Genomic DNA, 21,708 nt, shown 5'->3' with positions numbered 1-21,708 from the left:
TTAATATCCCCCTCTAGCTCTTTGAAACTGTGTAACATGTTACTGATGACTGTAGTCATCCTAAAGTAGTATCAGACCCCAGAACTTATTCTTCCTCTCAAGCTGTAATCTTGCATCCTTCAGCAAATTTCTCCCTGTCCCTCCATTCTTCCTGCCCTTCCCAGCCTCTAGTTCCCTCTGTTCTACTTTTTACTTCTATGAGATAAACATTTTTAGCTTCCACATAGGAGTGAGCACATGCAGTGTTTTAACCTTCTTTTCTAGCTTATTTCATTTAACATAGTGTCCTCCAGTTTCATCCATGATGCAGAAAATGACAGAATTTTATTCTTTGTGTGGCTGAGTAGTACTCTACGATTATATATACCACATTTCCTGTATTTCTTAAATAGTAATACTCAAAAGTCGAAATTACTCCTTGATCCATGGGCTGCAGAACGGATGTTGGGTTAGCAGGCATGAAAGCAACATTAAAATATGGACACCCAGAGTTCATCCCTGGCAGGAATGTAAACGTGTAAAATCAGGATGAACATTAATTGGGTTAATGTCATTAATTGGGTTAATATCATTAATTGGGTTAATGTCATTAATTGGGTTAATGTAGCAAGGTTGCAGATGTTAACAGCCTGTGGCTCAGAAATTCTACTTTTAGGTGCCAAACACAGAATTCTTGCCGATGGGCTCCAGGAGGGAGGTACGGAAAAGTTCACAGCAGCAAAACTGTGTCATAGGAAAAGATGGGGAGGACAGGTACAGAAAGGGTAAAACAAACAAGCATTGCAGGGTACTCACTGAATGCAACCTATACAGAAAAAGAATCAAACTCCAGTTAGGCTCATAACTAGCTTTGTCTCGTCTTGAGTTGAAAAGAATATGCATGTATGACACAAAGAAAAAGCAAAGAAAGATAATTGAGGGTTTTGGTTATGTAGGAATGGGGAGAAAACGCCAGAGGACGTCAACAGGAAGTGCCTTAAACCGTGTGTGGTCCCATGCGGTTGTATTCATCCATCCTCACTCACAGTCTCTAAGTATTTATGTATACTCAGTACTTTAAAAACAATGATCCAAAAAGCCTGCTTTCTTCATCCCCTCTCCAGCTCTGGGCATCTTGCTTGCTGAGGGCAGTGCTGAGAAGCGGCTGCCAGGTCTGAGCCACTTGGTTCTGCATATCCTGCAGGAGGTGGCTCCCCTTTCTCTCCTGGCTCTGTGGCATCAGCACTTTCTCACTCAGGGTCTCAGCCAACACCTCCACTTTATCCTCCACAACAGGCCCACGTGGTAGAAACGGTCATTACCGAGGCCCAGTCACCTTAATCAAGGGCTTGTGCAGGCATGGTCCCGTGTCTGCTCATCACTCCTGAGCTGGCACCACCTCCCTCAGCTGCCTGGACCTGACTTGTTTAAAAGCAAGTTGTGTTTTTCAAGTAATTCTCATGGGTTTTTAGTTGTATGAAGGTTCTTACTACTGTAGTTCTCATTTTAAAATTTATTTTACAATATTAAATCTTTAAAAACCTAAATGTTCAGATACATTTTATGGCTTCTTAGAGATTCTCTGTTAAATTTTAAGCCAACCCAGCAGGAATCTTTTTAGACTAAAACTCAGTTCTAAATGACAGCTGATTTTCTATTACAGAATAAGCTTTCTTTACGTAGTTTACTGTTAATATAATTTATATATATATATATATATATATATATATACACACACTCACAACTATGTGTATATATGCATACATATCAAACTAAAACAACAAATTACGACTGGGCATGATGGCTCACACCTATAATCCCAGCAGTTTGGGACGCTGAGGCGGGCGGATCACGAGGTCAAGAGATTGAGACAATCCTGGCCAACATGGTGAAACCCCGTCTCTACTAAAAATACAAAACTTAGCTGGCCATGGTGGTACGCATCTGTAATCCCAGCTACTCGGGAGGCTGAGGCAGGAGAATTTCTTGAACCTGGGAGGTGGCAGTTGCAGCGAGCCGAGATGGCGCCACTGCACTCCAGCCTGGTGACAGAGCGAGACTCCATCTCAAAAAAAAAAAAAAAAAAAAAATTACATGTCCTGATTCCCAACACATTCACAGTGAAAGTAGATATTTTTTCCTTCTCGTTGCCTTCCTAACATATTGAATTCCTTACTCATTACAGACAAAAAAAGCCTCAGAGTATTAATCATTTCAATAGTTTCCTTAACATTACTTTCGAATATATATTGTCCTGTCAATACAAACTTTATAATCAAGAAGGGGTCACCAGGCCCTACACACGTTAGCTTGTCATTCTTTTAACACTCATCCTGATGTAGGAATTACTGTCTCCATTACACCTGGGGAAACAAACCTCACGGCAGAGTAACTAAGTCAGGGTCGGACACTCAAGGCACGGTGGAGTCAGGGATGGACTTGTTTGGTCTTTCCAGTGTACCATAATTTTTCTGGGTGTACTGTAAAACATACAGCTGCCATTTAGTTATAACTCGCACCTCAAAGCGTTCATTTCAGGATTATTTGAAATAATCTATAGGGAACACTCACACAATATCTGGTTTAAAAAAATCACACCAAGAATTTTAGTGTTTATTAATATGTTGTGTTCAGTATTATTTTATCCATAGAGAAAAACTAAAACGGGTAATAGGGTCAGGTTTCTGTTTTGGCTTGGTTTGATTTGGTTTTTCAAACTGGAGTTTTAGAGGTCACAATCTTGAAATACTGTGGCTCAGGCTTGAGCAGAAGAAAGAGGAGATTGTTAGAAACACACGGTAAGACCTGCAAACTCTTATATGGAGTCATCGTTCATGTCCTGCCCTTTTTATTTTTATATATTTATTTATTTATTTATTTATTTATTTTTTGAGACAGAGTCTTGCTCTGTCACCCAGGCTGGAGTGCAGTGGCACGATCTTGGCTCACTGCAACCTCCTCCTCCCAGGTTCAAGGGATTCTCCTGCCTCAGCCTCCTGAGAAGATAGGACTACAGGCGCCCGCCACCACACCCAGCTAATTTTTTGTATTTTTAATAGAGATAGGGTTTCACCATGTTAGCCAGGATGGTCTCGATCTCCTGACCTCATGATCTGCCCACCTCGGCCTCCCAAAGTGCTGTGATTACAGGCATGAGCCACCACACCCGGCCCAATCTTGGCACTTTCTTCCCAGTCTTAGCCATGACCTTCCCATGAGCTCCTGAGTGGTATATTGAGGATAGAAGACTAAAATATGAAACCCAGAGAACAGTATGGTAAACTGAACTAGTTCTACTGGGAATCTGAAAACTCAGTGAAGTGTTTTCAGAACTCTGAAGGAGCAATAGAGGGTCTCAGCAGTCTTCTTTCAATGTGAAGGGAAAAAAAATTTTAAAAAAGATTGGAGACCATTATTCTAAGTGAAGTAACTCAGGAATGGAAAACCAAATATCATAAGTTCTCACTCATAAGTGGGGGCTAAGAGATGAGGTTGTAAAGACGTAAGAATGATACAATGGACACTGGGGACCCGGGAAAGGGTAGCAAGGAATAGAAAACTACATACCGGGTACAGTGTACACTGCTTGGGGGTGGGTGCACCAAAATCTCTGAAATCACCTCTAAAGAACTTCCTCATGTAACCACATACAACCTGTTCCCCAAAACCTACTGAAATAAAAAAAATTTTAAAAATTAAAAAGAAACATTTTCATAAGATCACATGATATAAGATAACAGAAATACTGAAGCCACATGAAGACCTCCGAGTAGGAAAGGCCAGCCGGAAGAACAGGTACTGCAGAAGGAAGCGTTGGAAGAGAAGCAGGAGAATGAGGCTGTCTAAGTGTTTATGGGGAACTGGGTGATGATTCCTTTTAGGTTTGTAGAACTTGGGAAGAGGGTAGTGAATCCTCAGTTAGGAGGGAAATAGCGCAATGTTAAAGAGAACAAGGTCATCTTTAATGGGATAATCCAGACTCAAACCTTTTAGAAAAAAACTACACTATTGCTTCTCTCTTTCCCCTCTCATGCAGCAGTTTGGGTTTTGTGAACGCATGTAGAGTTTTAACAACGGAGTCCCTGATGTAACGTTACTGACCTGAGGGTACTGCGCTGACCCTGCGGCTGGGTTTTCACTTTGCTTCTTGGGTCTGTTCTTATCACGTCCCCAGTCACAGCCTCTCCCCTATGCTACCTGCCCAGCATGTTCAGCAACAAGAACCCACAGGCAACCATTTCCCCGGCGACTTCCTATCAGAAACAGGGTCACCTCTTATTTATCTTCAGAATCTCCTTCCCATAAAAAAAATAGAACCATCGAAATCTTTTTTTTATTTTTATTTTTATTTTTATTTTTGAGACTGAGTCTCGCTCTGTCACCCAGGCTGGAGTGCAGTGGTGTGATCTTGACTCACTGCAAACTCTGCCTCCCAGGTTCAAGCGATTCTCCCACCTCAGCTTCCCAAGTAGCTGGGATTACAGGTGCCTGCCACCACCACTGGCTAATTTTTGTACTTTTAGTAGAGACGGGGTTTTGCCTTCGCAGAGTTGTGGAAAGTGACTGTCACTGTGTTTAATCTCGGCTCCAGCAGCCAGCAGAAACCTCAGCCAGAAACAGGGGCTCCCTGCGCCCCTGCACCTTTCCACGCGGAGCCCAGCGTGCCCTCCCCTGGCGAAGCTCCTGACCACAGCCCTCCATGCCCGCGATGGCTATACTGTGCAGGGTACCCAGGGCACAGGGCAGCCCCACTCCTCATTTGCAACTGTGAGCACTGCCATTGGATTCCTGGCCACCATCCTTTGTTTAGCCTGTGCTATGTCTGGTCACTGTCTTTTGGACTCCTTACTGCCTGCTTGTGCCAGTGTCCACCAAATATAAGGCTTATCCAGCAGGGTGGACGTCCTGTGCCAGAGGCTCCATCCATGGCAATAGTTCCCCGAGAGCCACCTAGACACAGAACACCTCATTCCTGTTTTCCAACCGATTTTGTCTCATTGAAAATAATAAGTCATGTCCAGTCCCATGCCAAAGTGTGAGAGAGGCAGACACATGTCACAATGTCATGGTGGGAAATCCTGTCATTTTTAGATGGCAGATGCACCAAGCATTCAGGTGCTCCAGGATGGCCCCTGAACCCAATCTCAGCAATCACCACTGAGTGTGTGCTAGATTTCCACGTATCACCAGAGGTGCACAGCACCTCCTTCTGCACATGTAGAATCAGAATCGCACGTGTTTAACCCTGATGAGCAATAGAATTACCATCTGGGAAAAACGGTCCTTCTGTTGCTGGAAAAATTCCCCCAGCTCACTGGAATCAGCCAAGCACCAGCTTTGCTGATAGCCTAGGACCTGGCACTATTGTTCTAGAGGCCACACTCTAATTCCGTCCAGTTCACTCTTCACCTAAATTAGACCCTGACCCAGAAGATGCCTCTGGAGAGCTCCTGCTGTGTCATGCTAGATGATGGAGGCAGGTGTGGAAAAGGAACAAAGAATCCACCTTGGAGAGCTCAGAGTCTATTATGGAAACTAACACAAAAACTGATAACTGCCAGCTAATGCGGTCAGTGATAAGACAGCCAAAAGAGTGACACAGTGGGCCTTGGGGACTTACGGGGAAAGAGTGGGAAGGGAGTGAGAGATAAAAGACTACTAATTGGGTTCAGTGTATACTGTGGGAAATGGGTGCACCAAAATCTCACAAATCACCACTAAAGAACTTACTCCTGTAAGTAAACACCACCTGTTCCCCAATAACCTATGGAATTATTTTTAAAGATGTTAGGGAGTCACTGAGTGGGACGCGCATCTTCACGTTAAAGGTGCAAAGAGGCATTTACTGCCGAGTGATTGAGGGTAACCAGGAAAGTAAAAGCTACCAAGGGTCATCCAGAGTCTGAGATGGAAGAGCCAAGGTAGATGGATGAAGATGCCTAGTGCATGCAGAGGTTCCTGGGGGCACGGTGGGGAGGAGACCCTGACGGGTGTGAGGCTTCTCCGGGAGAGGCCTTTGCAGCTAGTAAAGATGCCCTGAGGAGGGACAGCAAGGGAGCCCTGTGAGCAGGGCTGGGTTTTGAATGGATGACTCGCTGCAATATGGAGGATGATTCTACAGTGGGCATGATTGAAGGGAGGGAATCAAATTGAAAGCCCATCTGTCCATGTATTGGGCAGTAATTATTGATTGTCTACTGCGTGATGGGAAAGACAGAGTGCTTGTGCCGTGGATAGAGCAGGAAGCATGAGCGCATTTCCAGAACTGTGATGAGTTCTACAAAGGAGACACGTGGGGTGTTAGGAGCCCGTGAAACAGAGAGGCACTGCTCAGAGGACATCAGGAGAATGTTCTCTGAGGACCCCTCTCTAACTGGAGACCTGTGGCTTTGTGGTCAGTCCACGTGTGGGCTGTGGCAGCAACTGGTCCACGGAGGCAGGGAGGGGTGCTGGAGCCTGGATAGAATGAACAGCATGGATTCAGGGGACTGCAGACCTGAGGGAGGAGGAAGAGCAAAACAGCAGAGGAAGAACAAGAGTGCAAGAGTGTGTGATGGAGCTGGTCTCTTCTGCAAGAACCAGGGTTTCATGGACCAGGGCACCGTGCAGGGCCATGAGCATGCAAGTCACTGCCCCATCTGAGCGCCTGGGAGGGGAGTGCTAATCTGCAGGCTCTGTTTGCCCTTGGTCAAGGACGTCCCCTTGGGACTGGGTTCCCTCGCCCTGCCAGGTTCATGGACGTCCCCTTGGGACTGGGTTCCCTCGCCCTGCCAGTTCATGCATCCATCAGAAGACCTGTGAGGGATCCTGGGGCATCCAACACTGTCACAGGGTCACACCTGCAGGAGGTGCCTCAATAAGCAAATTTGGTAAATGTGCTTATTATATAAACACATTAATGTTACTGCTTGGGGAGAAACATGACATTCAAACAGTTTTTCTTATTTATTTGGCTTTTTACGTGCTCTGATCCACAAAATGGCAGCGTTCCTTAGACACAGACAGGGCAAGGATTCCACAAAGACAGAAAGAGCCAAGACGAGCACTTCTGTTTCAAAGGCTTGGACGACCTTTTCATTATACCAACCACAACAACATAAAAAATTAAAGGTAAAACCTAATTGAGTTTCCCTGGTTACAAGTGGAAATCTCCAATAATGCTTTTTATGTTCAACCACATGGGGAACTTCACAGTGGAAAATATGACACAATTATTTTATTATTACAATTCAAAATCAGGAGAGGTCACGCAAATGAGAACCTACTCAGTACTCAAACCAGTGAGCACATTGAAACCATTATGTAGAAAACATGGAGGATCACCCTTCCAGGATGGCCTTATTAGTGCTGGAAGCTAAAAATCTATACAAGATGCTGTGCATTTGTTGGCTCTGCTAAGTTTCAAGTGTTTTTATTTGTTTTAATTTGATTTGGTTTGCTTTGGTTTTTGAGAGAGGGTCTTGCTCTGTTGCCCAGGCTGGAGTGCAGTGGTGCAATCTCAGCTCACTGCATCCTCAACCTCCTTGGCTCAAGCGAACCTCCCACCTCAGCCTCCCAAGTAGCTGAGACCACAGGCATGCATTACACATCTGGCTACTATTTTTTTTTGTTTTGCATTTTTTATAGAGACAAGGTCTCACTATATTGCCCAGGCTAGACTCAAACTCCTGACTCAAGCAATCCTCCTGCCTCGGCCTCCCAATTGCAGTGGCTCACATCTGGGATTACAGGCATGAGCCACTGCAATTGACCTAGTTTACCAGTCTTTAGTAATTTATCTTTGCAAAAAAGTGATATTAAGTACCATGATAATTAGAAAACTAATATCTTCATTACAGAACATCCTCTCTAAAAGTCAGCAGAGATGATTCCTTCTTCTGTGATCCTGCTACTCCATTCACAAACCACAGCAAAACTTGGACTGTAAGAATCTGCAGGTCAAGCTTCTCAAAAGCAGACATGAGATCTTATTCATCTTTCTATTCTGATATCTACCTGGTACCTAGCCCATACTCTTCAAGAACTGTGCAAGCTTTGGTTATTACCATATTTATAAACTAACAAATTAGGCTTTGAGATATGTTTACATTCTCCTTTTTTTTAAAAAAAATTGATCTTTCTATCATGGGTTTATTTATCGAGGATAGATTTTTTTTAATGCCGGATATTTTTTAAATACCTGGTCAGGGTTTATGTGATGATATTTTTTTCTCCAAAGACAATAATAATGAATAATATAAGATATATCCTAACTTTAAGACATTCTTTTAATTTTTTATTTTATTATTTTTATTTTATCTTTTTCTTTTGAGACGGAGTCTCGCTGCGTTGCCCAGGCTGGAGTGCAGTGGCTCAATCTCAGCTCACTGCAAGCTCCACCTCCCGGGTTCACACCATTCTCCTGCCTCAGTCTCCCGAGTAGCTGGGACTACAGGCGCCTGCCACCATGCCCAGCTAATTTTTTTTTATTTTTATTTTTTAGTAGAGACAGGGTTTTACCATGTTAGCCAGGATGTTCTTGATCTCCTGACCTCGTGATCAGCACGTCTCGGCCTCCCAAAGTGCTGGGATTACAGGCGTGAGCCACTGCGCCCGGCCTAGACATTCTTACATTTACAAAATAAATTCTATTTGAACATGGTTTACTATTTAAAAAAAAAAACAAACCTTGATTTTCATGGACTAAGCTTGATTTCATGTCAAATCATATCTTCCATTAATATATGATATACTATTATACATCATTTAATCTAAAAGTGACAATTATCATCATTTGAAAAATAGTAACATTTTGTTATTCTTTAAACAAATTTTTTATCAAAATTAAAACTGACACTGAATACATGAATTTTTGTTTTCAGTGAGTTAAATCATTATGTTTATGATGTTGCTTTTGGTACCTTCATACACTTATGTATTGAGCACCTGAAAGCTTTTCACAGTTTGCTTGTTACATGGGGCAGGTTAACAACATGTGAGTCTAAAATAAGAAAAGGTCATAAGCAGACACTTCTCAAAAGAAGAAATACAAGCAGCCAACAAACATATGAAAAAATGTTCATCGTAACTAATGCCCAGAGAAATGCAAATCAAAACCACCATGAGATATCATCTCACACCAGACAGAATGGCTATTATTAAAAGGTCAAATAGTAACGGATGCTTGCAAGGCTGCAGAGAAAAGGAAATGCTTACACACTGTAAGTTAGTTCAGCCACTGTGGAAAGCAGTTTGGAGATTTATCAAATAACTAAAACAGAGCTACTATTCAAGCCAGAAATTCCATTACTGGGTATATATCCAAAAGAAAATAAATCATTTTACCAAAAAGACAAGATTCTCCATGTTCATCACAGAATTATTTACAATAGCAAAGATACAGAATCAGCCTAGGTGCCCATCATCAATAGTGGACTGAGTAAAGAAAATATGGTACTTATACATCATGGAATACTACACAGCCATGAAAAGAATGAAATCATGTTCTTTGCAGCAACATGGATGTAGGTGGAAGCCATAACCCTAAAATAATGAATGCAGGACAGAAAACCAAATACCACATGTTCTCACTTATAAGTGGGAGATAAACATTGAGCACACAGGGACATAAAGCTGAGAACAGCAGACACTGCAGACTTCTAGAGAAGAGAGGAAAGGAGTGGGGGATGGGTTTAAAAACTACCTCTTGGGTACTGTACTCACTGCCTGGGTGACAGGATCATTTGTACCCCAAACCTCAGCATCACGTCATATACCCATGTAACAAACCTACACAACCCCCTGTATCTAAAATAAAAGTTGAAATTATGTATTTTTAAAAGGCAAGCACTGTTGTTTGTTAAAAGAATCTCCTTGTGTGTTTTAGGGCTAGGCTCTCTGTTGCCAGGTTTGATCATGAGGTAAGATGCTATATCACTGATTTTATAGGGGGTCTGGAATGAACTCATTTTATTACCTTGTTTCTGGAATATACATTAAACCTAATTTAACCCACTGTATGTAAAAGGGCTTTTAGCACTACTATTTATTATAAATATACATGAAAATATATATAATGGTCTGAAAATTATCATCATAAAACTCTATATTAGCCTTAAAGACAGAAAACACTGTAGTTCAGATGTGAAATCATTAGTTGTTTCTCTTTTATTGTTTCGTTTTATTTTATTTTATGGACCATATAATGCCTCCTTTGGGCAATGTATTTCCACAAGATGTATGTTCCATACTGCACTAGTAGATTATGCTACTTAATATTGTTTTGTGGCATTTATTAGAACAGAAGGAAAAGAATACATGTAAACTAAGCATCTTCAGCCTCTGTGCTAATAGCAGCCATCCACTCAACAAGAGCTTTCCAGCCAAGTAGTTGTTCCTTGTTCATCTCTCTAAAGGCATTAATTACTTGTATTCACACTGATTTATCTATCATTTTATTGTAGTCAGAGAAAACAATTTTCAAATGTAAGAAATACGGTGTTTCTTTGTTTTGGAAAATTATTACATTGGTGATGTCATAAAAACTGAAAACAAAATTTCCTCATTCTACACTTAACACATTTCATGGATTTTCCTTAGAAGTAAGGTGTCACTAAAGATTCAGAAATAATTTCAATGATTCATTGCTTTAGAGTTGTGAAATAATCCCAAATTGCTAAATAATTTTTAAAAAATAAAGGATTCAAGTTTCTAACTCCACCCAAAATGGGGTAACTCACTGCAAACTATGGATACCACAAAGTGCAACCAAAAACCACAAACAAAATACAAATACTGATATATCAAAAATAACAGCAAGCAGACCACAGTTCATTTCTTGTTTTTTTTCTGTTTTGTTTTGTTTGCTTTGTGTTTTTATCTCCAGCTTTGACCCAAGCCTAGGGTAGCTAAGGCAGGCCACTGAACAATACAAATGGACAACAAAATCTTAAGAAAAGAGTGTCCTTCACAGGAAGGGGAACATCACACACCAGAGCCTGTCATGAGGTGGGGGGAGTGGGGAGGGATAGCATTAGGAGATGTACCTAATGTAAATGACGAGTTAATGGGTGCAGCACACCAACATGGCCCATGGATACATATGTAACAAACCTGCACATTGTGGACATGTACCCTAGAACTTAAAGTATAATAATGATAAAAAAAAAAAAAAAGAGTGCCCTTAGCAACAAAGAACTGGGACAATGGGCCTCCAGAGAATGGGAGAAATTATTTTTCCTCTCTCTCTCTCTCCCTCTGTCTCTCTTTCTCTCTCTCCCTCTCTGTCTCTCTCTCTCCAGGACTGCCATGAGGGCTGCCTCAGTTACAGAGCTGCACTACATATAAACCATAATAGAAAATCTATCCATTAAAGAGAAGAACCATAAAAGGAAGCTCCAGTTGTATACAGATTGAGGAGGATAAAAATCCTTTTTTTTCTATTTATTTTCTCTCCTTGCTTTACCCTGCAGGTAGGACCAGTCAACAGCACTGTGTGCCAAGGACAGTGGCTAAAACTCGGAAAATATTGCTAAACAACAGAGCAAAGGCTTTGAAAGCAAAACTGATGTTGAAAAAAGAAAAAAAAATGAATTAGTCAGAGATCCCCAGAAAAAAAGAACCAACAGGAAAATACATATACATGTAAAGGTTCAAATAATAAAAAAGAAAGCAAGGAAAGGAGGTCAGAAAAATAAAAAAGAATAAAAATAAAATAATAAAATGGTAGGTCTAAACACATTCATTTCAATAATTAAATTAAGTGATCTAAACACACTAAAAGACAGAAATTGCTGGGTTTACTTAAAAAAAAAACAAGATCCAACTGTATTCTCTCTTAAGAAAAATTACCTTAAGTATAACGGTATAGGTATATTAAAAGTAAATGGAAGGACAAGTATCCACAATGCAAAAGAAAACTAGAGTGTCACTATTAATATAAAAACAAACCAAGTTTAGAACAAAAAAGTTACCAGGGATAAAACACACACACACACACACACACACACACAGGTGAACATATCCAAGATGGACCAGGTACCAACGATGGAAGCACCGAAGCTGCAATAACTTTACTTACAATGGGAGATCTAGTATTAAAGTCAGAAATCAGTACTGAACAGGGTGATGTAGGAGTATGTATACTTCCTCATGTTCATTCAAAGAATAAAAGCCAATATTCCTTTTAGCCTAGATAATATAAAACACAAAATTGTTCATGAATGTCAGGAGCTCTCTTCACCTGTCATTATGACATCTCCCTCATCATTTGAAGAAAACAAGATTGTATTGGAGGAACAAAGTTCCAGAGAAGAAATTAGTTTAATGGAGAAAGTAAAGGAGAATGCTACACTAACCAGGAATACAACTTCTAAAGTGACCAGTAATTTGAGAATAAGAAGTAGATTTGCCAAGCCTAAACCAAATCTTGAGAAGATTTTAGGGACCAACAGGTTTGATGATTAACAGGAAGTTTCCAGTTTCTGTGTAACCAAAGGGGAAGAACTGGAAACTCAAAGGGAAACAGAGACAAATGCTTCCAAAGCAACAGAATTGGAAGATAAAAACCTCTGACCAGTTACAACAGCAGAGAATAAAGAACAGAGCAAATTGGCACGCATACATGGTATCAAAGGGACCAGTATTTCTCAAGAAGTAAACCTAACTGAGAGAAATAAGAATCAAGAAGAGAGCTCTCAAGAGGCTCACATGTTGTCAGTTGCTCCAATTTCTTCCTCTGAGACAGGGCCCCGCACACTTGGTTTGGAGAGGGGTCTGGTGAAAATCTTGTTGCAGTGCCCCAGATGAAGGCCTCTAAAGGAGACAACGTGCTTACACTTCCTGTGCCAGGGTAAACACCAAGAAGTATTCCAGAAGTCCAACAAGAAAATATAATCAGTCCTCAAGACCTAACAGTGACTCTAGTTGCTACTGTACCTCGAGATGGAGAAGATGAAAAAGCATTTATTTTAACTCTGGTGGAAATCCCAACCAATCTCCTTTACTTTCTCCATTAAACTAATGGAGAGTAGAAGAAATAACCGAAGCCACTGCACAGTTAATGCCAAACCCTTTACTGCCAGCTTCCATATTGGTCAAATCAATGAATACTGAAGAAAGGGGTGGCATGAGTGTTTACCAGCAACTTCAGTTGGTCAAGATGACATGGGTTTATCCATTTCTGTAAGAGATAGCTCTTCTAAAAAGCTTTCTGATAATTTGGATCTTGTATCTAGGAAGAGATTTCTTTGCAGGCTTGGTGAAAATGACCACGTTCCTCCTGCCAAAAACTGTTCACTCACTTTAAGAGATGATTGTCAAGCATAGACCTCTGAGGTGCGCTCAAAGGAATTAACAAATGTTTTTGAGGAAACAGGGGAGTCTCACAAGGGACAAGATATTTTTCCTACCTCAGGAAGCACATTGACAACTCCAGAACCTCAAAAAGTGCAAGTCGAACCAACTTTTCAGAGTACAGGATCTAGATCTCCCGATACATGCATGGACAAGAATGTGCCTCGGTTACCTCAGAATGAAATGATTGTGTCTGATAAGGAAGAAAGAACTGTTGCTGCTCCTAAGTCTGAGCAAATGGACAGCAGAACACCATCTTCAAAAGCCCACTATCCAGACCTGGCAGAAGATCCCTGGGATTTTTATCTTTCATATGTTCAAAGAATAGTTTGGAGTCTGACAGACCTACTCAGGTCCATAGTAAGAATCGCCTAAAGCCTCTTATCCCTGCATTAAGACAGAATCTGAAAAGATTCAATCCATCCAATGAAAGCCAGAAAAGAAGCAAGAGTCCTCTGATCCGCTTGCATCTCCAAGTGTTATTAATACTCAATCTGAGAATATTAGCAACTCAGCAACCAATTTTTTTGTGATCAGCCCTTGCTGAAAGGACATAAAAGTGGCCAAAAGCGGGCCCCTAAATGGAAGCCAACCACAGTCTCTGAATATTTCTTCAATGATGTCTTCATTAAAGTGGATGAAACAGAATAAAACAATCTTTTGTCTTTTTCTTTTTTAAATTAAATCTAGGATTTCCAGAGTCAATTACATCAACAAAACAGTATTTAGAGCAAAACATCGCTGTCTATTTTTCTTTAGGTTGATTTTGAATATTTAATGAGCTTGATTTGAAGCTTTTGTAATCAGTGGAAAACATTTCTGAGGTTCCTTTCATTCTGATTGATTTAGCATTTTGCAAATAGCAAGCAATTAAGACTGCTTTCTCAGACAGAAATAACAGCTCTTGTTCACATTTTGACTCTTCCTGCGCTAAGCACACATGGACATTTGGGAATGTTGTGGATGTATGTCTCTCTATGAACTGCAGTGCACACAGATTTGGGGGTTGATTGTATCATATTTAATGTTTAGAAACTTCCTTTGTGAAGATTTTTTTATTTTTACGTTTAGAGGAAGATGATGAAGGATGAAGGCCATTTCAGTTGCTTCTAAGTACAGTCATTTTTCGCATAATGATGTTTAAGTCAATGACGGACCACATATATGACAGCGGTCCCATACAATTAAAATGGAGATAAAAAATTCCTATCATCTAGTGACATTATATCCATCATAACACAGTGCGTTGCTCTTTTATGTTTAGACATGTTTAGATACACGGATACTTCCTATTGTGTTACAACTGCCTACAGTATTAAGCATAGTAACATGCTATAGAGGTTTGTAGCCAAGGGGCAATAGGCTATACCGCATAGCCTCGGACTGTAGGGTGTGTAGCAGTCTGTACATCACCGTGTTTGTAAGTACACTCTGCGTCGTTCCACACAAGATCACCTAACAAGGCATTTCTTAGAACATATAATTAAGGGACACATGACTGTACATGAAAACAAATTGTCAAACTCCGCTTTCGTAGGGTAAATGTTAAAGAACTTTTCTATTATCAGCTGTTTGTCTGACTGAAAAATACATATTTTTTCAGTTTATGGTGATGTAACATTAGTCCTAATTGAAAAACTAGTATTTAAACATAATTATTTATAAAGATGACACAACAAAGAGCTTATTTATTTTTACATTTTTTATTTGAAAGGATATTCAGTTTTAGCTATTTTCACCCCTCAGATTATAGATGAAGAAGGCATTAACAATTTTATGTTTGTCTCCTTTTTCTCTTTAATTTTAAATATATTTAAAATGATATAACTAAAAATGTTTGGCTAGTATGTGTTTGGAATATCTTTTTTCCCTCAGATTAGTGTATTGACTTTGTACTGTGAATTTTTCTGTTTTTCTTATTTCTGGGATATTCTCAGGATTTTCATGAGGGTAGGGGAAACTCAACTTTATGAGACAAATTTTCATAGAAAATGCAATCTCCTTTATACACACACAGACATATATTAGTTTTTAAAAGCCAATTTCTTCATAGTGTTTTTACCATTAAATTCTCAAGAAACACTTAGATCTTTAAGCATGGAACACAATCGTGATGTTAAAAATAGAAAATAAGACTTACCACATGTTCTCACTCATAGGTGGGAATTGAACAGTGAGAACACTTGGACACACGGTGGGGAACATCACACAGCGAGGCCTGACGTGGGGTGAGGGGGAGGGGGTAGGGATAGCATTAGGAGAAATACCTAATGTAAATGACCAGTTAATGGGTGCAGCACACCAACACGGCACATGTATACATATGTAACAAACCTGCCCGTTGTGCACATGTACCCTAGAACTTAAAGTATAATAATAAAAAAAAAAATAAAGTTAGTGATTATCATCAATATGAATTTAAGGTTTTAATTTCCAGATTTGATGACTGACACATGTAATTCTATGATCTACCCAAGCAGATCTGTAGTGGTTCCCATTAGACTTCTCAAAAAGCAAATTTACTCTGATTTTGTTTGAAAAGCCTCTTAGATTGGTAATATATTAGCTCAGCAGTTGGAAACTTTCTGCAAACTATTTTGGGTTTGCAGGCCAGATGGTCTATCTGGCAGCTACTCAGCTCTGCAATTTCAGTGTGAAAGAAGCCATAGACAGTATTTGAATGAAGGACTGTGGCTGGATTGGCCTTTTAGTTTGACTGCTATATTAGACCCCAAATTTTCTTACCCTAAGGTGCTGATGTCTGTATGTAAGAGTTATTTGTCACTGAAGTTACGAGTTGTGCCTAAAAGTTAGAACTGTGTTCATTGTATTATGTAATGATCAGTATTTCAATTAGGAAGATATTTTAGAGTCTAGATAATTACGTTTGTATATGGAAAAAATGGTGGCCAGTTTTTAAATTCCTTAATAGAAGAGAATTATGTCTCAGCAGGTATAATAGTAATGCTAATTTATTGAAACTACTGCTGTTAGAGCACTTCTTTCTCATTGTCTTTTAGTGAAATTCACGGCTTATCATTTTGTCAGAGAGGAGGCTATATGATTCTGAGTGGAAACTGTCTACAAGTAGGCATTTATTTCGTGATTAATATGTCAGAGAAATCATGGCAGTAAATCACATTGCTATTTTAATACCCTGTTTTTGTAAGTTTTTAAAACTCATATTCTGAAGAGATTTCTTTCTCTTAATGTTAGTTTGGGAGTCAGATTGCCATGATTAAAGTATTATTTATCCTTGTGTAATAATAATTTTTAACTTTAACAACTGTCTCTTTTTAATCTATAATAAACTAGTTTTATGGAAGATAGAATTTCTTGCTATATAAAGAATACAGGGACTCATTGTACTAGAGAATCAAGTCAGCCGGCTAAATTATCCTACCATTATATCCTTAAACCTAATTTTGGAAAAGAGAAAGTTAATCAGTGTATTCACCTTACATGGTGGCAAGAACTATGTTAGGCCTGATTCATGTAAAGAAGATGTTGCAAAGAATTTATTTCATAAATCTTAAAGGAGATATGATTACAGGTTTTTATCTGTTCTTGATTTTTTCTCCTGAACACTTACGCATTAGCAAGTGATCAGCATGCGGGTTTGACGCCTAATTGTTGGTAAATGGTTGAGGCACGACAAAAATATTAATATCCATTGTTTACCATCATGTTATTTGAAACAGAAGTGGCATGTGTACTCTCTTGCTTGAAGAAGTCTTTGACAAAAAAAAAATCATGTCATTTATAAATTTTCTTGTTCTAAAGAAATCAGTTATGTTATATATATGTATACATATAAATTATGTAAATAAAAGTTATTTTATACCAAAAAAAGGATAAAGTAATCAAGAAAACGTAAGAATCTTAAATGAGCATACACCTAACAGAGCTCCAACATACACGAAGGAAAAACTATTAGAACTAAAAGTTAAAAAAAACCCAGAAAACACATTTTTAAATCCCCGAGTACCTGGAAATCAAAAGCACACTTCTAAATAACCAAGGGACCAAAGAACAGATTGACAGAAATTTTTGAAAAATATTTTTTAAACTGAATGAAATGCTGAAATAACATATGAAAATCCTTGCTAAAATAGCGCTTACAGGGAAACTTGAGCATTAAATATTTAATTAGAAAATTAAAAGATCTAAACTCAATCACAGAGTTTCCACTTTAAGAAACTAGAAAAAATAAAGGACATTTCAATGCGGGCTCATGGGGCTGTGAAGCCAAGAGCTATTAACACTATGACCAAGGATTGAAATTCTCTATAGGATCCGTAGCACTGAATAGTGCTATATTTTCCGGAGGAAGTATAAGACTTAGCCATTTATAATTATGACTTGATAATCCATAATTGTTGATGTGGGAAAGTAAATACATTTCTCAAAGTTTAAGTAGATTTTCTTTTTTTTAAAGGAAAAAAAACAGACCCACAGTAAGCAGAAGAGTTAAATAATAAAGATAAGAACCGAAATCAATAAAATTTGAAACAGAAAAACAATGGGAAAAAAATTGATGAAACCAAAAGCTGGTTCTTTAAAAAGACCAAGAAGAGGCAGTGACCTAGCAGAAAAGATAGATACATTGCAAAGAAATCTCTGAACAAACATACCCAATAAAAATCAAAACAAGCCAGGCAGAGAAAACAAATAAATAGCTAAGTTTTCAACGCAAAGACAGATGTACATCCACAGGAAACAATAGCAAACAGGAAACCAGGACCTCCCCAAACAGACAGATCAAGTTGCCAGTGACTGACCCTAACTAGACGGGAGTAGATGAGCTCTCTGATCAAGAATTCAAAATAGCAGTTTTAAGAAAACTCAGTGATCTTCGAAATAACATGGAAAAGCAACTCAGAAATGTATTAGGTAAATATAATAAAGAGATTGAAATTTTTTTCACTTTTTTTATACTTTAAGTTCTGCGATAGATGTGCAGAATGTGCAGGTTTGTTGTATAGGTACACAGGTGCCATTGCGGTTTGCTGTACCCACCAACCCGTCACCTACATTAGGTATTTCTCCTAATGCTATCCCTCCCCTAGCCCCCCAACCCCTCGAAAGGCCCCGGTGTGTGATGTTCCCCTCCCTGTGTCCATGTGTTCTTATTGTTCAAATCCCACTTATGAGTGAGAACATACAGTGTTTGGTTTTCTGTTCCTGTGTTAGTTTGCTGAGAATGACGGTTTCCAGCTTCATCCAAGTCCCTGCAAAGGACATGAACTCATTCTTTTTTATGGCTGCATGGTATTCCATGGTGTATATGTGCCACATTTTCTTTATCCAGTCTATCATTGATGGGCATTTGGGTTGGTTCTAAGTCTTTGCTATTGCAAATAGTGCTCCAGTAAACATACGTGTGCTTGTGTCTTTATAGAATGATTTATAAAACTTTGGGAATATACCCAGTAATGGGATTGCTGGGTCAAATGGTATTTCTGGTTCTAGATCCTTTAGGAATCACCACACTGTCTTCCACAATGGTTGAACTAATTTACACTCCCACCAACAGTGTAAAAGAATTACTATTTCTTCACATCCTCTCCAACATCTGTTGTTTCCTGACTTTTTAGTGATCACCATTCTAACTGGCATGAGATGGTATCTCACTGTGGTTTTGGTTTGCATTTCTCTAATGACCAGTGATGATGAGCTTTTTTTCATGTTTGTTGGCTGCATAAATGTCTTCTTTTGAGAAGTGTCTGTTCATATCCTTCGTCTGCTTTTTGATGGGATTGGTTTTTTCTTGTAAATTTGTTGAAGTTCCTTGTAGATTCTGGGTATTAGCCCTTTGTCAGATGCATAGCCCCTTGTCAGATGCATAGATTGCAAAAATGTTGTCTCATTCTGTAGAACTAGAGAGGCAAGAGCAAACACATTCAAAAGCAAACACATTCAAAAGCTGGCAGAAGGCAAGAAAGAGCTAAGATCAGAGCAGAACTGAAGGAGATAGACACACTAAAAAAATCAATGAATCCAGGAGCTGGTTTTTTGAAAAGATCAACAAAATGGATAGACCGCTAGCAAGGCTAATAAAGAAGAAAAGAGAGAAGAATCAAATAGACACAATAAAAAATGATAAAGGGGATATCACCCCTGATCCCACAGAAATGCAACTACCGTCAGAGAATACTATAAACACCTCTAGGCAAATGAACTAGAAAATCTAGAAGAAATGGATAAATTCCTGGACACATACACCCTCCCAAGACTAAACCAGGAAGAAGTTGAATACCTGAATAGACCAATAACAAGCTCTGAAATTGAGGCAGTAATTAATAGCCTACCAACCAAAAAAAGCCCAGGAACAGATGATTCACAGCTGAATTCTACCCGAGGTACAAAGAGGAGCTGGTACCATTTCTTCTGAAACTATTCCAATCAATAGAAAAAGAGGGACTCCTCCCTAACTCATTTTATGAAGCCAGCATTATCTGATACCAAAACCTGGCAGAGGTACAACAAAAAGAGAAAATTTCAGGCCAATATCCCTGATGAACATCGATGCGAAAATCCTCAACAAAATACTGGCAAACCGAATGCAGCAGCACATCAAAAAGCTTATCCACCACAATCAAGTCAGCTTCATCCCTGGAACGCAAGGCTGGTTCAACATATGCAAATCAGTAAACATAATCCATCACATAAACAGAACCAATGACAAAAACCACATGATTATCTCAATAGATGCAGAAAAGGCCTTTGATAAAATTCAACACCCCTTCATGCTAAAAACTCTCAATAAACTAGGTTTTGATGGAACATATCTCAAAATAATAAAAGCTATTTATGATAAACCCACAGCCAATATCATGGTGAATGGGCAAAAGCTCAAAGCATTCCCTTCGAAAACAGGCAAAAGACAAGGATGCCCTCTCTCACCACTCCTGTTCAACATAATATTGGAAGTTCTGGCCAGGGCAATCAGGCAAGAGAAAGAAACAAAAGGTATTCAAATAGGAAGAGAGGAAGTCAAATTGTCTCTGTTTGCAGATGACATGATTGTATATTTAGAAAACCCCATCATCTCAGCCCCAAATCTTCTTAAGCTAATCAGCAACTTCAGCAAAATCTCAGGATAAAAAAATCAATGGGCAAAAATCACAAGCATTCCTAAACAACAATAATAGACAAAAAGAGAGCCAAATCATGAGTGAACTCCCATTCACAATTGCTACAAAAAGAATAAAATATCTAGGAATACAACTTACAAGTGATGTGAAGGACCTCTTTGAGGAGAACTACAAACCACTGCTCAAGGAAATAAGAGAGGACACAAACAAATAGAAAAACATTCAATGCTCATGGATAGGAAGAATCAATATTGTGAAAATGGCCATACTGCCCAAAGTAATTCATAGATTCAATGCTATCCCCATCAAGCTACCATTGACTTTCTTCACAGAATTAGAATAAACTACCTTACATTCTGTATGGAACCAAACAAGAGCCCTTATAGCCAAGACAATCCTAAGCAAAAAGAACAAAGCTGGAGGCATCAAGCTACCTGACTTCAACAGAGATTGAAATAATTTTTAAAAATCAAGCACAAATTCCAAAACTGAGAAATATATTTGTTAAACTGAAAATTTCATTACAGGCTCTCAACATTAGAACAGATCAAGCAGAGGAAAGTATCAGTTAGTTCAAAGACAGGCTATTGCAAAATACACAGAGAGAATAAAAGAGAAAAGAATATAAAGGAATGAAGAACACTTACAAGATATAAAAAATTAACTGAAAAGGCCAAATCTAAGAATTATTGATGTTCAAGAAGGAGCTGAGCAATGGCAGTATTATCTCAACTCAGTTAAAATGGTTTTTGTTACAAAGACAAGGAGTAATGGAGGTTGGTGAGGATTTGGAGAAAGGGGAACCCTCATACAGTATTGCTGGGAATGTAAATTAGGACAGCCATTAGGGAAAACAGTATGGAGACTCCTCAAAATCCTAAAAATAAAACTACTATATGATCCAGCAGTTCCATTACTTGGAATATATCCAAAAGAAAGAAAATCCATATATTGAAGAGATATCTGCCCTCCCATGTTTGTTAAAGCACTATTCACAATAGCCAAGATGTGGAATCAGCCTAAGTTCCTATGTATGGATAAATGGATACAGAAAATGTGACAGATATACACAATAGAATACTATTCTGCCATAAAAAGAATGAAAGCTTGTTATTTGCAGCAACATAGATGGAGCTGGAGGCCATTATGTTAGGTGAAATAAGCCAATCACAGAAAGACAAATATTGCACTTTCTGTCTCATATGTGGAAGCTAAGAAAGTGAAACTCAGGAACATAAAGAATAGAACGGTGGTTACCAGAGGCCAGGAAGGGTGGTGGAGGGAGACAAAGAGAGGTTGA

At 39.0% G+C, this 21,708-nt stretch overlaps 2 pseudogenes, besides 1 other annotated feature; both read left to right on the top strand.

The window, feature by feature from the left end:
- Positions 927 to 1,221: a silencer, noted in NCBI's record as "tiled region #926; K562 Repressive non-DNase unmatched - State 21:Repr". NCBI's record gives its function as "represses a minimal TATA promoter and a strong SV40 promoter by Sharpr-MPRA in K562 cells {active_cell/tissue: K562}" and the evidence as "EXISTENCE:reporter gene assay evidence [ECO:0000049][PMID:27701403]".
- BDP1P (B double prime 1 pseudogene) lies at positions 11,966 to 17,157 on the top strand (annotated as a pseudogene).
- On the top strand, positions 17,525 to 17,651 carry LOC124900408 (uncharacterized; annotated as a pseudogene).
- Positions 17,652 to 21,708: the final 4,057 nt, after the last annotated feature.

The sequence above is a fragment of the Homo sapiens genome, chromosome 18, assembly GCF_000001405.40.
Source record: "Homo sapiens chromosome 18, GRCh38.p14 Primary Assembly".
NCBI classification, from domain to species: domain Eukaryota; kingdom Metazoa; phylum Chordata; class Mammalia; order Primates; family Hominidae; genus Homo; species Homo sapiens.
This window is presented reverse-complemented; position numbering and strand designations above follow the sequence as displayed.